Below are 14,495 nucleotides of genomic sequence, written 5' to 3'. Positions count from 1 at the left end.
GAAACCACTTCTACCATATTCTTCTGGTCCTTGTAGTCACAGGCCCACCAAGATTCTAGGAGATCAAGTAGATGTCACTTGCTGATGGGTGGGTGGGGATTGGGGGGGCAAAATCACATTGCAGAAGACCGCATGGGATGGGGAAAGTTTTAACTGTCTTTGGAAAAGGGAGAAAAACTTCTGTCATGACATCTTTATTTTCCCCTCCTCCAAAGAACTTGCAAACATCTGTGGTAACCTGCTGAGTGATATAAATGAAATTGTGGCTTTTCTTCCCCAACTCTGTCAGCCCTGGGGGCAGGAGGGAGATGCATTCCAGTTGAAATAATCATGGAAAATGTGAAAAATCTTTCACTGTCTGGCAGAACAGGAATATTAAATATTTTTTAAAAATACCTTCTTGGAACAACCATGCTCATACTCATAAGAATGGAATTATTTTTAAACTTGTTTTAGAAAATGTTCATAATAAAACATCCTGTACTTGAATTATTAAAAACAATGTTGAGTAAAGAATTGCTTAATTTAGTAAATAATTCTAAAGGAAGTCGTTATTTTCTCCAAAGTTGAATTTGCTAAAAGCACTCCAAGAATTTTATTACAAGCACGACTGCATAATGTAATTGTGTAATTAGTAATACATCTGACACTGTTGGAAAGATTTAGTTTTACTTAGGGCAGGAACAAAATGTAGTTCTTATTTTTTAAGACTGCATGAGGGACACTGTCTTGTTTTGCTGGTGGAGATTTTTTGTTTGTCTTAAAAATATATTGTATGATTGAGGTAATAGAGAAGATAACCAACATTTATTAATATTGGATCTGTGGATAGAATATGTAGTTTGAAGTTAGACTGACCTGACCTAGGTTTAATCCTGGTACTACCTCTTGCTACCTGTATTTTTTTTTCCCAAAGATCTCATTTTCTTTATTTATAATAGGAATAATAATGTCTATTTCATGAGACTGTCTTAACTCTTAAATGAGATAATGTACAAAGATTGTGCTAAGTACATAGGAGGTACAGATGGAGTATCCTTACTTCAAAAATCTGAAATCTGAAATGCTCCAAAATTCAAAACTTACGGAATTCTGACATGATGCTCAAAGGATATGTTCACAGGAGCATTTTCAGATTAGGGAAACTGGTAAGTATAATGTGAACATTTCAAAATTAAAAAAATCCAAAATTTGCAATGCTCCTGGTCTTAAGCATTTCAGACAAAATAAACTCAACCTGTACTAGGTTAGGTTCCTTTGTCATTCCCATCTGTTTCTGTTTGAGCACTTGATTTTGTGAGTGGTTGGTTACGATGGTCAGTTTAAGTTCCATTTCAGTTGTGTTTGTTGGACACAGGCAAGGGTTGGTGAGTAAGCTCGACTGTCAATTTTTTCACCGAGATACACCAAAGAAAGTGCCTGTTCAATACATCGACAACCTATGTGCTTACAATGCCTTGAAATAACAGTTATAAGCTACATTTTACATCGATGAACTTTTCTTGTATTATTTGGTTTGGAGGTACAAATGTTGATTTAGAGGTTAGGAAGCTATTGCTGTAATGTGAGGGGTGGTGACTTCTGCATGACTGACAAGCTGTGTTTTGTCTGAGTTTTAGATTATATTCCCAGTGTAGTAGGCAGAATTCTAAAATGACCTCCCATGACCCTCACCCTTGTAAAACCTCCTTCCCTTGAATGTAGGCAAAACTTGTGATTATCACAGGCTGTCACTCCCAGGGTTATGTTATGGCATACAGCAATTGTGTAGCTGTTATAAAGGGTAGTAACTGGTTGACTTTGAGTTAATCAAATGGTTGGGCCTCACCTAACTACATATCGGCCCTTTACATCTGAGACTAGAGGTTAAAGATGGGAAAAGTGAGAGATTCAAAGCATGGGGAGGATTCAATGTGAGAAGATTCTCCATTGCTGGCTTTTAGAGATGGAGGGGGCCACATGGAAAGGCCGGAGAGTGCCTCTAGGAGTTAAGAGTGACCCCTGGCTGATAGCCAGCATGAAACAGAGCCCTTAGTCCTATAACCCCAAGAAATGGAATTCTGCGTACAACCATGAGAGCTTGAAAGGGGATCCTTGAGCTGTAGAAAGGATGGCAGCCCAACACCTTAATTTAAGCCTTTTGGGACCAAACAGCAGAGGGCTCAGCCATCTTATGCCTAGACTTCTGATCTACAGAAACTAGGAAAAAATAGTTTTACCGTACTGTTTTAAGCCACTAAGTCTGTGGTAATTTGTTACACAACAATAGAAAACTAATTTGCCCAGTAATTCTCATTGTGAGATCTTAAGTCGAATTGTTTTCTTTCCATCATTGTCAGTTTCCTTGCCTTCAAGTAAGAGGATTTTCTAGTCTAGAACACTGGTACTCATAATAATTATGTATTAAAATCACTTAGATTGTGAGGGGAAGCTTTAAATGTAGATTCCAGACCTTTCTCCTGATGTCCTGAATCAGACAATCTGGGAGCAAGGCTGGGGGCTGCATTGTTGACTGGTTTCCTAGGTGATTCTGATGTTTGTGGGGCTGGATCCCACTGGGCAGGACATCTGCCTATACCCTGGAATAAGAATATACAGTCTCTTCTAGCACTGACAGGTAAAGTTGGCAGGGAAGTCCTTTTTTTTTTTTTGTTACAGTCGGAGTTACAGCCAAGTATATGCAGTGCTCGCTAGGTGTAAGGCATCTCATGAGGACTGTCTACCTTCTCTTGTTAAATCCTTGTGATGAACTATAATGACCTGTAAGGTAGGCACAATTATTAGCCAGTCTTCACTGTAGCTTGAGGAGACAGGGCCAAATTTACACAATGCATAAGGGGTAGAACTGGAATTTGAACCCTGATCTTTGTCATTCCCAGTTGGGGGCTCTTAACCACTAAGTACTCCTGTGCTGTGAAATGGAGTGTCCATTCATTTCTGTATCTGTAGTGCTAAACACACTGTCTGGCACGTGATAGATGAATAATAAACACATTTTGCTTATTAAATTCTCTGGAACTCCATTGCGCCACCCAGTGCAGGGCAGTTTTTGTGACAATGGAGAGGGAGGAGGAGGACCTGGCCAGGACCTTCACTATGTAAGGGCTCCCTGCCCACTGCTGCCTCTCTGTGTCAATTCTGCCTCGTTTTCTTTCTCTACAGTTGTCTCTTTATGTCGGATGAGCTAACAGCAGCCACTCCCATACTGTCGGATCCTGCTTCCCTTGCCATAGCTGATTAACCCAGGGTAAGACACTGGGAATTGGAAACTTGGAGTGGAAAGACTCTGATCATAGTGGTCTCTGGAGCCAAATCCCATTCCATGGCAATGTTCTGGTAAGAAGGCCCACACAGCCTTCCCTGCTGCCTAGACCCCTGGAGCCAGCCCACCTCCTTTCTTGAACATTCCAGCATCTTTCCATTAAGTTCCTTTTGTGGCTTAGGAGGTTCTCTTTGTGACAAAGAACCTCTGCGAATGGAGGAGTAGAGACTTGCTGAGCTGGAGGGCATCTGAAATGCCATCTTCTGCTTTGTGTCGTCTGGCTGGGCGAGACAGGGCACTCTCTGCTTGATGCGACTCCTTCAGACCCTTCACACTGGCCCAGTTTTCTCTACTCATTCATGCTCTTCCCCACTTCCACTACCTCTCCAAAATGGACTCAGCTTAGAGGATGCCGTACAAGCCCCACCTCCTCCATGTGAAAGGCTTAAAAGAGCCGTGCCATAAATATTTAAGATATCTTTCCTCTCTGCTTCATTCCCTGACATTTTCTCCACCTTTAATTTTCACTAGTTACAACACAGGACATTCTTAGGGTAAGAAAAATCTATTTTCTGTATGAATTGTCGCAAATTCCAACTTAGTGGTATCATAATAGCTAATATTTTTGTGCTAACTCTTAAAAGCCAGGTTTACTAATGTAAGTTACGTGCTTCATGAAGTTAGATGTGCTTAATATGATTTTCTCAAAAAATTCATTGAGGTGTCATCACTATTATTCCTTGTTTCATAGATGAGGAAATTGAGAGGTTGAAAAGTTCTAAATGAATAAAATTATATTCCAGAGCTGTCTGTGTCCAAACAGTGATAGCAAGATCAAATTGTAAAGCATCTCTATTTCCTTTTTCTGCCACCATCTCCATGCCATTTATTTTGGATATTGGAAAAACAGAAAGACAGTGCTGAACATTTCAGGGTAATGTGAGTGGTAAAAGAAAGTTGGACACCAAAGGAGGTCATGTAACTGGTGAGGGTGAAGAATTCAGGAAGACTTTCCTGAGAGGTATGGCAGATTATATTTTCTAAAGAAGGCTGCAAAAATATTTTCCATCCCACATGTTTTTTCTACAATCTTAACACTCCTACATGAAGAGGTAGGGTCTGTGTCCCCTCCCCTTGAACATGGGTGCATCTTTGTGATTGCCTGGACAGACAGAGTACAGAGGAAGGGACATAATGTGACTTCTGAGGCTAAGTCATAAAAATGCCATGTTCTTTTATTTTATTGAGAAGCTCCCTCTTGCAACTCAGTCACCATGCTGTTTAGAAGCCCAAACAACTGATTAAGAGGAACTGAAACCAATATCCCTGGCTGAGTTCCCAGCCAAGAGGTAGCACCATTTTTTTTAAGCAGTGTAAGTGAGTGATCTTGAAACTAGATCCTCTAGTCTTCAGATGAACTACCCCAGCTGATGCCATATATAGCAGAAGTAAGCCATTCCCCTAGGTCCTGCCTAAATTACAGATTCATGAGCAAAATAAATGATGGTTGTTTTAGGCCATCAAGTTTGAGGTGCTTTATTAAACAGCAATAGATTAATGATACAAAAGAGGCTTTGAAAGATGGGCATCTTTCCAAGCAAGGTTCAGAGGGCCATATGCTGCTTATTGACAGCTAGTAGAAGTAGTAATAAAAATAAATGTTATTATAATAATGATACCACTCTTAGTAACTGTAGTGGTAGTTAAGTTTCACTAAGTTCTTTTTTGTGCTATGCTCACACTAAGTGGTTCATACTTTACCTTATTTAATTCTAATAATGACTCTAGGTAGGTACTATTACCCTCATTTTACAGATGAGGAAACTGGGGCTTAGAGAATTTAACTTCTCTTTATAGCCACCCGGATTCTAACAAACTCACTTTCGTAGTATTCCCAGGCTTGAACATTTCCTTCCTGATTGCCCAAACTCTACCAGATGATTCATTCTTTCATCCAGGCAGGGCTCATCTAGCCCTTTCATGGAAAGGAATGCTTTTAATCAGATTCACACTAAAATGAGGATGACTGGAAGGTAGACAGATGCATTTTTTTCACCTGTCTATTTGCATTTTCAAGGTGGATATTTGTTAATCAAATTGAAAGCTCTTGTGTAGTGCATTTCTGTAGCACTATCTGGAGGCAGAGGACCTCTTCCTAGCACTTGCCAAATGATTTTGTGCCTTAGACAAAGGCCAAAAATCCATCCTGACATGGTCCTGGCAGCTCACACCTGTTCCTCTTTTGGCAGTTTGGAAAGTGGGCTGCTATATGTCATCCCCTCTAATCTCTGCCCCAAACTGAGTTGTGCTATCACCCTTATGTTACCTTTGAGGAATCCACAGCTCAGGCAAATTCATAGCATGCCCAGGATCACACAGAAGAACCACGATCAAACGTGGGTCTTCTAACTTCAAAAGCTGGGTCCAGTCTGCAACATGACATGCTGTATCTCCCACTCTATGTGAATGATTCAGGAAGGTGGATGATAAGAGACAGCAGCCGGCAGAAGGAAAGCAGTGATCTGAACACCTAACGGGAATCCTAAACAGTGGAGAAAGGAGAGCAAACATTAAAAACTCATGGATAGAAAAAAAGAGGAAAAGAAAACCATTTGGAAGTGTTCATTGAGTTGATGCACTGGATAATTTAATAAGCTGTCTGTTCTGATCCGTCTTGCTTCCCTGCTTTTAGCAGGGTGCCATATGAAAGCTCCTACATGGTAATTATAGTGGATGATCTTTTCCCCTGTCTGGGATCTTTATGGTGTGATTTGGATAGCTCAGCTGCTAAGCTGTTTTTCTTGGGAGGCAGAGTGTGGGGCATGTGTGAAAATATGTGTGAGAGCTTGTGTGTGTGTTGCGGGGGTAAGGGACAGTGGCTGGGATTGGCCCTTAGAATCTCTTTTCCATTGTGGCAACATTTTTTTCTGCTGCTTCTTGGGATCTTGGTGCCAGGGTAACTTTCCTGCCTTCTACCTGATCACATCTTTCTCGGACTATGGCCTCAGGACTCAAATCCCTGCCAAATGTCAATAAATTCATCAGATTAATGAATCCTTTCCTAGCTAATATGGTTCTCAGTTAATTAATCAACAAATAATTATTAAAAGCTTGTAAATGCCAGGCCCTGAGAATGTCCATGCTCTCATGAACATAGGTTTTAGTGGAGGAGATTGTGGGAAGCAAGAACACAAGTAAGTATGAATTCCAGACACTGATAAGTGATAAGAATAATATGATGGCATGTTTTTTTGTTTGGGTGATCAGGGGACTAAGTGATGTCTAAGGGCCCTGAAATCCAATCTGGACCTAAATCTAATCTAACCTGCCTCTAATCTGATCTAAAGGAAGGAGAAAGAAAGGAAATCTTGTCAAAGAACTCACTTAGGAGAACTCTTTTCCAATTTGGCTTCCTGTGTATTGATGAGGCAGGCTGTCCTGTTACTTGGCATGCTAACTACCAACTATTTCTTCCTTTGATTTCAAAGATCTCATTTCAGGATAATGATGACCGTGGTGATGACTGTTAATAAACCCAATGTTTAAAATTCTATGGAGAAAAAAATTTAAAACATACAATTGGGAATTGCTCTCAAGAGATTTGCTTTGATCCTTTCAAATGGGGTGCACTAACTAGATATGAGATCTTGAGCAAGTTCCTATCTCTCTGGGCCTAGTTTCACCATCTGTAATATGATGATATTGAGCTAGATCAGTGGTTCTCAAACTGTGGTCCCTGGACCATTAGTGGCAGCAGCACTTGAGTACTTGCTAGACATGCAAATTCTCAGGCCCTACCCCAGACCCACTGAATCAGAAACTAAACCCTGGCAATCTGTGTTTTAAGGGGCCCTCCAGGTGAGTCTAATGCACCAAAAATCTAAACACCACTGAACAAGATGACCCTTAAGGCCTTCCTGATCAGCCTCTGTTTGCTTCTCAGGCCTGTTGGATGAAATTGGCCTGGAGTGGGATCCTCAGAGGGAGGGATGAGAAATGGAGGAAGGTGCCTTTCCTGGTTGCTTCCCTCCCCTTTGAAAATTTCAGTGACTTCTCCTTATCCCTGCTTTCTCTCAGCGTCCTCTGATGATTGGAGCTTATTAAGATGGGGGATTTTCCACAGGCCTGTTTCAGAGGTCCTGGAGAGGAGTTTTAATTGCCAGACTTCACATTGAGGGTGTTAACATTTATTAAAGTCAGCTCCTCTGATTGCCTTTTAGCAAGACGATGACTGTGCATAGGAGATAACACTGGGCCCAGCCGGGTGGGGCCCCAGAGGTAGCTTAAGATAATCAGGCCCAGGGAAAACAGAAAGGCAGCCTGGCATAGTGGTAGCAGAGACACAGCAGCAACTCTCATGCTGTTTGTGCTGGGGTGGCTGGGCCGACGGAGGGGTCTAGGCTGTTGTGGGATCTGGGGTGGTTTCAGTCAACAAGGTGGGCCTGGGGGAGAAGAAGGGAAAGGCTGGTAAGGTCCTGTTCAGGAACAGAAGCACTACAGAGATGGGGCAGAGAGGGCCAAAGCTCTGGCCTCTTTTGTAATGTAGATTTGGGTCTTACCACTTTCATAATTTTGTGAGGAGGGATAGAAGATGGACTATATGCTATTGGGTAGTGGAGGGTGGAAAATGCTCTCAAAGACCTGGTTCTAGTCTGGATTTGCTGCAATTGCTCTTGGCTCCTGGCCCTGTCCTCTGCGGCCTCCTGTGGGCTCACACACCACAAGCTTACTTTTCCCTTCTTTTTCTTTTTAAACATTTCAAAAGCTTTAAGGGTACAAGTGGTTTTTGGTTTCATGGATGAATTGTATGATGGTGAAGCCTAAGATTTTAGTGCACCCATCACCTGAGTAGCGTACCTTGTACCCACTATGTAGTTTTTATCCCTCACCCACTTTCCAAATCCTGGCTTCTGAGACTCCAGTGTCCATTATACCACTCTGTTTGCCTTTGTGTACCCATAGCTTAGCTCTCACTTATAAGTGAAAACGTGCGGTATTTGATTTTCCATTCCTGAGTTATTCACTTAGAATAATAGCCGCTAGCTCCAGATTGCTGCAAAGGATATTAATTCATTCTTCTGTATGGCCGAATAGTATTCCATGGTGTGTATATACCATATTTTCTTTTTTATTTCTTTCTGTTTTTTGAGACAAGGCCTTGCTCTGTCACCCAGGCTGGAGTGCAGTGGTGCAATCTCAGCTCACTGCAACCTCTGCCTCTTGGGCCCAAGAGATCCTCCCACCTCAGCCTCCTGAGTAGCTGGGACTACAGGTGCATGGCACCACATGCGGCTAATTTTTTTTTTTTGTATTTTTGGTAGAGATGGGGGTCTCACCATGTTGCCCAGGCTGGTCTTGAACTCCTGAGATCAAGCAATCTGCCCGCCTCAACCTCCCAAAGTGCTGGGATTGCAGGTGTGAGCCACCGCGGCTGACCTACATTTTCTTTATCTACTCATCAGTTGATGGGCACTTAGGCTGGTTCCATATCTTTGCAACCGTAAATTGTGCTGCAATAAACATATGTGTACTGGTGTCTTTTTGATATGATGACTTCTTTTCCTTTGGATAGATACACGGTAGTGGAATTGCTGGATGGAATGTTAGATCTGCTTTTATTTCTTTGAGAAATCTCTGCACTGTTTTCCAGTTGTACTAGTATACATTTCCACCAGCAGTGTATAAGCATTCCATATTCACCACATCCACGTCTATGCCAACATCTATTGTTTTTTGCCTTTTTAATAATGGCCATTCTGGCTGGAGTGAGGTGGTGTCTCATTGTGGTTTTAATTTGCATTTCCCTAATGATTAGTAATTTTGAGCATCTTTTCATACTTTTTTTTGTCATTTGTATATCTTCTTTTGAGAAATATCTATTCATATCAGTTGCCCACTTTTTAATGGGATGATTTGTTTTTTTCTTTACAGCAGTAATTTTCAAACTGCATTCACCTGGTCTTAAGAACTCAGCCTCGACTTCATCAGATCAAAGATCCAAGGAGTTGAATGGCTCTCATTTCTCTGGGGTCTGTGAGGAGAGGAATGGCCTCTGTTCCTTCCTTCCCTTCACATGTGGCATCTCTCATTTCATCTGGTTTTTGTCACAGAAGTTTGAAAGTATTATCACCAAGAAAAAAGAAAAAAGATACACAATTGGAAAGCACTATGCTCGATTACTTCTTTTTCTGTGATGAACTCTGCCTTCCTTCCCTGCTCCTGCCTACACTTTCTCTCAATTTCCCCCCTTGGTGAAAGGCAGACCCAGCGCAGCAGTTGCCCCTTCTCTCTCTTCTTTGTCTTAGCATCCCACTGTCACTACATGGTTCAGATTCTCCTCACCAGAGGCTCCAGAATCAGTCTCTTCTTTCTTTGCCCTCCCTTATGGTTATAGCTCAGGTCTTTGTTGCTTCTTGCCTGGACTTGCAAGGTAGGCTCAAAACTGGTTGTTCTGTTTCTGGTCCTGCTCCCTCACATCCTTGTAGCCTGCACCCAGAGTGACCTTGCCAAATGTCACTCTGAGCAGGTTATTCCCTGCTCCATGCCTCATTTTTGCCCATCAAGCCAAGCTCCTTGGTTCAGGGGTTCAGACCCTCCATGAGCTGTGCTTTTCAGTCTTATCACTCTCTGCTCAGCCAAGCCAATCTCCTGGTTTACTCAATACCTTTCAAGAGTCAGCTCAGGTGTCACTTTCTCTCTGGTTCCTGTCCCTGACTCCCTGAGCTGAGTAAATTGTTTCATTTGGTAGGCAGATGGCCCTCAAGATTATAATTTTATAACTGTCTTCTCTACAAGCCTGTGAATTCCTCAAGGGTACAGTGAGCATGGACCATTCATCTTTGTACCCATGATATATAGCAGGTACATAATACGGACTCTTTTGAATGCTGCAGGACTGTTCAAAGGACTTCTTTGGTCCCTTCCCACCCTTGTTTTCAAAGTACAGTGGTATTTGCTTGGAGGTGAATGGTCAAAGTATAACTGAGGCTGCTGTGTTGGTGAAATGTAGTGAGCAGCTGGGTGGGCACTGAAGGGCTGAGTCATCATGCGACCCTTCTCCTTAATTGCCTTGGGTTGGTCATTTGGCTTCTCTGGAATTTGGTTCTTCTACCCATGCATTTGACAACTTGACAGCAGTGAGAAATTTGTGTGTCTTTGGCACACAAATATTGAGATACAGTGGCAAGTTCTACCAGCGTGTATCCCACTAATAATAATAAATACTTATCAAATTGTTGAGCATGTACCAGGCACTGAGCAAAGGCTGAGCTCTACCCACTTTGTCTTATCTAATTCTTCTCACAACCCCAGGAAGTAGGTACAATTGCCTCCATTTACTGAAGGCTCAGAAACACGTAAGCTACTTGTGCAAGGTCAGGAAGAGTCGGGATTCAAATCCAGGTGTAGAAGACTCCAAATGACTAACTAGTGGGCTGTCTGTCTTGTGGTCTGAGGAAGGTGAAATATGCCCTTACAATCACTAAAAGTGCTATGCAGCCCCTGGCTAGGAGGGAACTATACCCAGCACTGCTTTCTATAGCAGGCAAATACAGGTACCACATGTTCCCTTCCTGGGCTTCCTAGAACCTCATTATGGGGATGATGAAAATGATGGTGATGATGTAACTGCAGTGAAAATATGCTCAGGAGATAGTTGCCACCACCTACAGGCACTTGCTCACCTCTGCCCTCACTTCATACCACTCTTGTCCTTTTTTATCCTTCTCTGGCCATATGTACCTTCCTGCTGTTCCCTGTACATTTCAAGCTTGTTCCTGCCTCAGAGACTTTGCAGTTGCTATTCCCTCTGCATGAATGCCCTTCCACCTGCTCTTCATGGCTTTTATCACTCACTGCCCAGTTCTAACATCACCTCCTCAGAAAGGTCTTTCCTGATTCCCTGTCTAAAATATTTCCCTCTCTTCCCCAAGTTACATCCTGTCCCATCCCTCTGTTAATTTCTTTTATAGCAGTCTGCATACTTTGTAGTTATTTTCTTCACTTTTTAAAATGTCCTTCCCCTCCTCCCTCAGACAGGAACCCTGAGGGCAGGAGCTTTATCTGTACTATGCACTTCAGTATTCTTACCCAGTGCCTGGCCCATGGTGTTGATAAAACAATTGTTGAGTGAATAACCAAATGAATGAAGGATGACAAATTCTCACATTACTTTTCCTATTCTAGGCTGGACAACACTTGAACTCATCCAATAACCTTAGCCAATTTTCTTAACTTCTCTGGGCCTCTGTTTTCATGCCTCTAGAATAAAGGAGTTGAACTAGAACAGGGGTCAGCAAGTGTTTCCTAAATGGCCAGAGAACAAATAATTTTAGGCTCTGAGGGCCATGCAGTCTCTGCTGCAATGACTGATCTCTGCTGTTCTAGTGTGAAAGCAGCCATAGATAATATGTCAATGAAAGGGCATGGCTGTGTTTTAATAAAACTGTTTATAAAACAACAGGCCAGCCTGTGGGCCATAGTTTACTGACGCCTGGACTAGACAGCCACTAGAGACCTTCCTAGCTTGGACGTTTTAAATTACCTATTGGCCATCTTGTAAGGAGCCTTGCTTGGCTTCAGTTTCTTGGCCTTCATGATTAAAATCCCTCTTCTGGTGGCATGTAGGTTTGGGACCCTCAAAGGGGCAAAGCAATGTGGAAAGTAAAAATAGACCCACTAAGGCTGTATGACATACCAAGACTATAAGCGATGTTTGAAGGCTTTCCTGAGATGGTTAGAAACACTCAGATTATAGAATTTGGTGACTACCTTTGGAAAGGATCCAGAAGTTTTCTTTCTCAAGATTTTTTCCTCCCTTTCCCTGGAGGCTTGTCTAATCTCTTCAACCTTCACAGAACTCCTTGGGCTCTGAAACCCTGAGCTCTCGGTCTGTGTGTGACACCTCATCTCCTGCTCAGTTGCGTTGTCTTTCCTACCCACAAGTGTGTGTCTTCTTTCCCCACTGAATTATAATCTCCCTGACAGCAGACAATTTTCTTCCTTCCTTTCTCTCAAATGGCATCTAATATTGTTCTGAGCACACAGAACTGCTGAATAAACATCAGTTGACATTCTAAGAGCCCCCTGCCCTCCTTTCCTGTTACGCGTTGTTCAGGAGGCTCATGCCCTTGTGAGGACAGAGCTTGATGATGACTTTTCCTTTTGTTGGATTCTATTCCCTGTTATGTGTGGGTTCTGCCGCCTGTCTGCTGGTTACCAGATACTTATCAGTGATATTTATAGTCAGGCTCTGTGGCTGGCCATGATGGTCGATTGGAGATCATCTGAGCCCACAGAAGTCAGAGAGGCAAGGCAATTGGGTGGGAGGTGAAGATCAGATGAGACTTGAGAACTGCATGAGAAGTAAAAACATTCCAGATTTAAGATTCAGCTCTGCCACTAACTTGCTGAAGGACTTAAGCAAACCACATAGCAAGTCACTTCAACAAGCCATAGCCTCCGTTTCTTTATTTAAATGGAGATTAAGTGAAATAATTTATATGAAGGTACTGGTAAAAAGTAAAGAATCATGCTCATATTGTAATAATCATTAGTAATGAGCCGTCATCACCTCTCACCTCCCTACTGGCCTCCCCACTCTCACCCTTGCCCACTGAGTCTGTTGTCTAAATGGCAGCCAGAGTTATCATATAAAGATGAGTTGGATCTTAGATCTTGTCACTCCTCTGTGAAACCTCCAATGGCTCCCATCTCACTCACAGCCCAAGTCCTAATAATGGCCCGTTGGGCCCCACATCTCCTGGCCCCATGGCCTCTGATCTCATTTCCTACAAAACTCCATTCCAGCCACCTGCTCTTCTGTATTGTTCCCACTGCAGAGGCTTTGCTCTTGCTCTCCTTTTATCTAGAATGTTCTTTCCCTAGATATAAACACAGCTCACTGCATCATCTGCTTCAAGATATTACCCAAAGATCACCTTTCTCAGTGAGGCCTTTCCTGGGCATCCTGTTTTTAAAAATTGCTTCCCATTTCCCATTCCTGCTTAAATTTTCTCTGCAGCATTTGGTACCAGCTAACATAATATTTATGTCACTTGTTTTGTTTTCATCTGCTCCTGTACCCTGTGAAAGTTTCATGAGGTCAGAGAGTTTTATTGATGTACTTACTGCTATATTCCCAGGGTTAGCACAGGGCTTGACACATAGTCGGTGCTTAATAAATATTTGTCAAGTAAATAACAGAAGTTACCATTTCATTAGCTCAATAAGGGTGCCTGCTGGGGCACACAGGAACTGTGTGCATTCACTTTAATCCTTGGTTTATATGGATTCATCCATTTGCTATAGCTTGGTGCAACTAATGCTCTCCTCTTTCCACCAGGTCTCTAGGAAGACAGCATGTTGAAGTGACTAGGGGTTTGAGCTTGGCCATCAGACCTAGACTCACTAGTTGTGTGTGTTTCACAAATAACCTACTTCTCTGAACTTGGGTTTCTCGACATAAAATGACAGCTTCTACCTTGTAAAGTTTTTATAAGGTTTAAATGGAGGATTATTAATTCATATAAAGTGTTTAGACAGGTCTTTAGCCCATGGTAAATTTTTGGCTAACGGTAAGTATTTTTATGTCACTAGCAGTATAATAACATCATAAGCATCTTTCAAGAGTGCATAGGCACAAGCATAATTTTAATAACTACTCTTTGTGTGAATTTGCTGAGTTGTCCCAAATATGTCTTTTGTGTTTAAATTTTATATCATCTGCTATTAGGACAGGCATGCCAATTTCCTTTTTTTCTACTTCTTTCCATTCTCCCTATCTTTCCTTTACTCTAGGATGAACATTCATCCCATCCGTACCACTTACTGGCCATGTGTCTTGACTCCAGCCACTATACCACTGAAGCCTCAGTTTCCTCAGCTGTGTAATGGGACCAAAAATCTCTGCCTTTCCTACTTTGCAGAGACAGTGACTGGACAAATTGAGAAGATGGATGTAAAGAGTAACATACAAATATCAGGTTTGCTCCTCATTTTTATTGCCTCTCCCCAGCAATGGGTGTTTTTGTATGCCCCTCCAAGCCTCTCTGTTCTTGCCTGTCCTGGGGAATTAGCTGTAGCACGTGCACAATGGACGCAGCTTGCTTTTTTTGTTTCTGATTCTGTGGGTTTATGATAGATGCCTCCCTGAAGCCAAGATAGAGTTCTTCTTTGGAGAACCATTTTAAAAATGTTATATTGGAGATGACTTTCAGTTCAGCACGATAATTTA

General features: G+C 42.2%; 1 long non-coding RNA gene across 1 annotated transcript; it reads left to right on the top strand.

Annotated features, from left to right (window-relative positions):
* Nucleotides 1–2,535: 2,535 nt before the first annotated feature.
* Nucleotides 2,536–14,095, top strand: LINC01861 (long intergenic non-protein coding RNA 1861). Its single transcript, NR_146729.1, has 4 exons — nucleotides 2,536–2,617; nucleotides 3,163–3,336; nucleotides 5,738–5,982; nucleotides 14,060–14,095. It is a non-coding gene; the product is annotated as a long intergenic non-protein coding RNA 1861 (long non-coding RNA).
* The last annotated feature ends 400 nt before the right edge of the window (nucleotides 14,096–14,495 follow it).

The sequence above is a fragment of the Homo sapiens genome, chromosome 5 (assembly GCF_000001405.40).
Source record: "Homo sapiens chromosome 5, GRCh38.p14 Primary Assembly".
NCBI classification, from domain to species: domain Eukaryota; kingdom Metazoa; phylum Chordata; class Mammalia; order Primates; family Hominidae; genus Homo; species Homo sapiens.
Note: the sequence above shows the minus strand (reverse complement) of the source record. Positions and strands in the feature narration are given on the sequence as shown.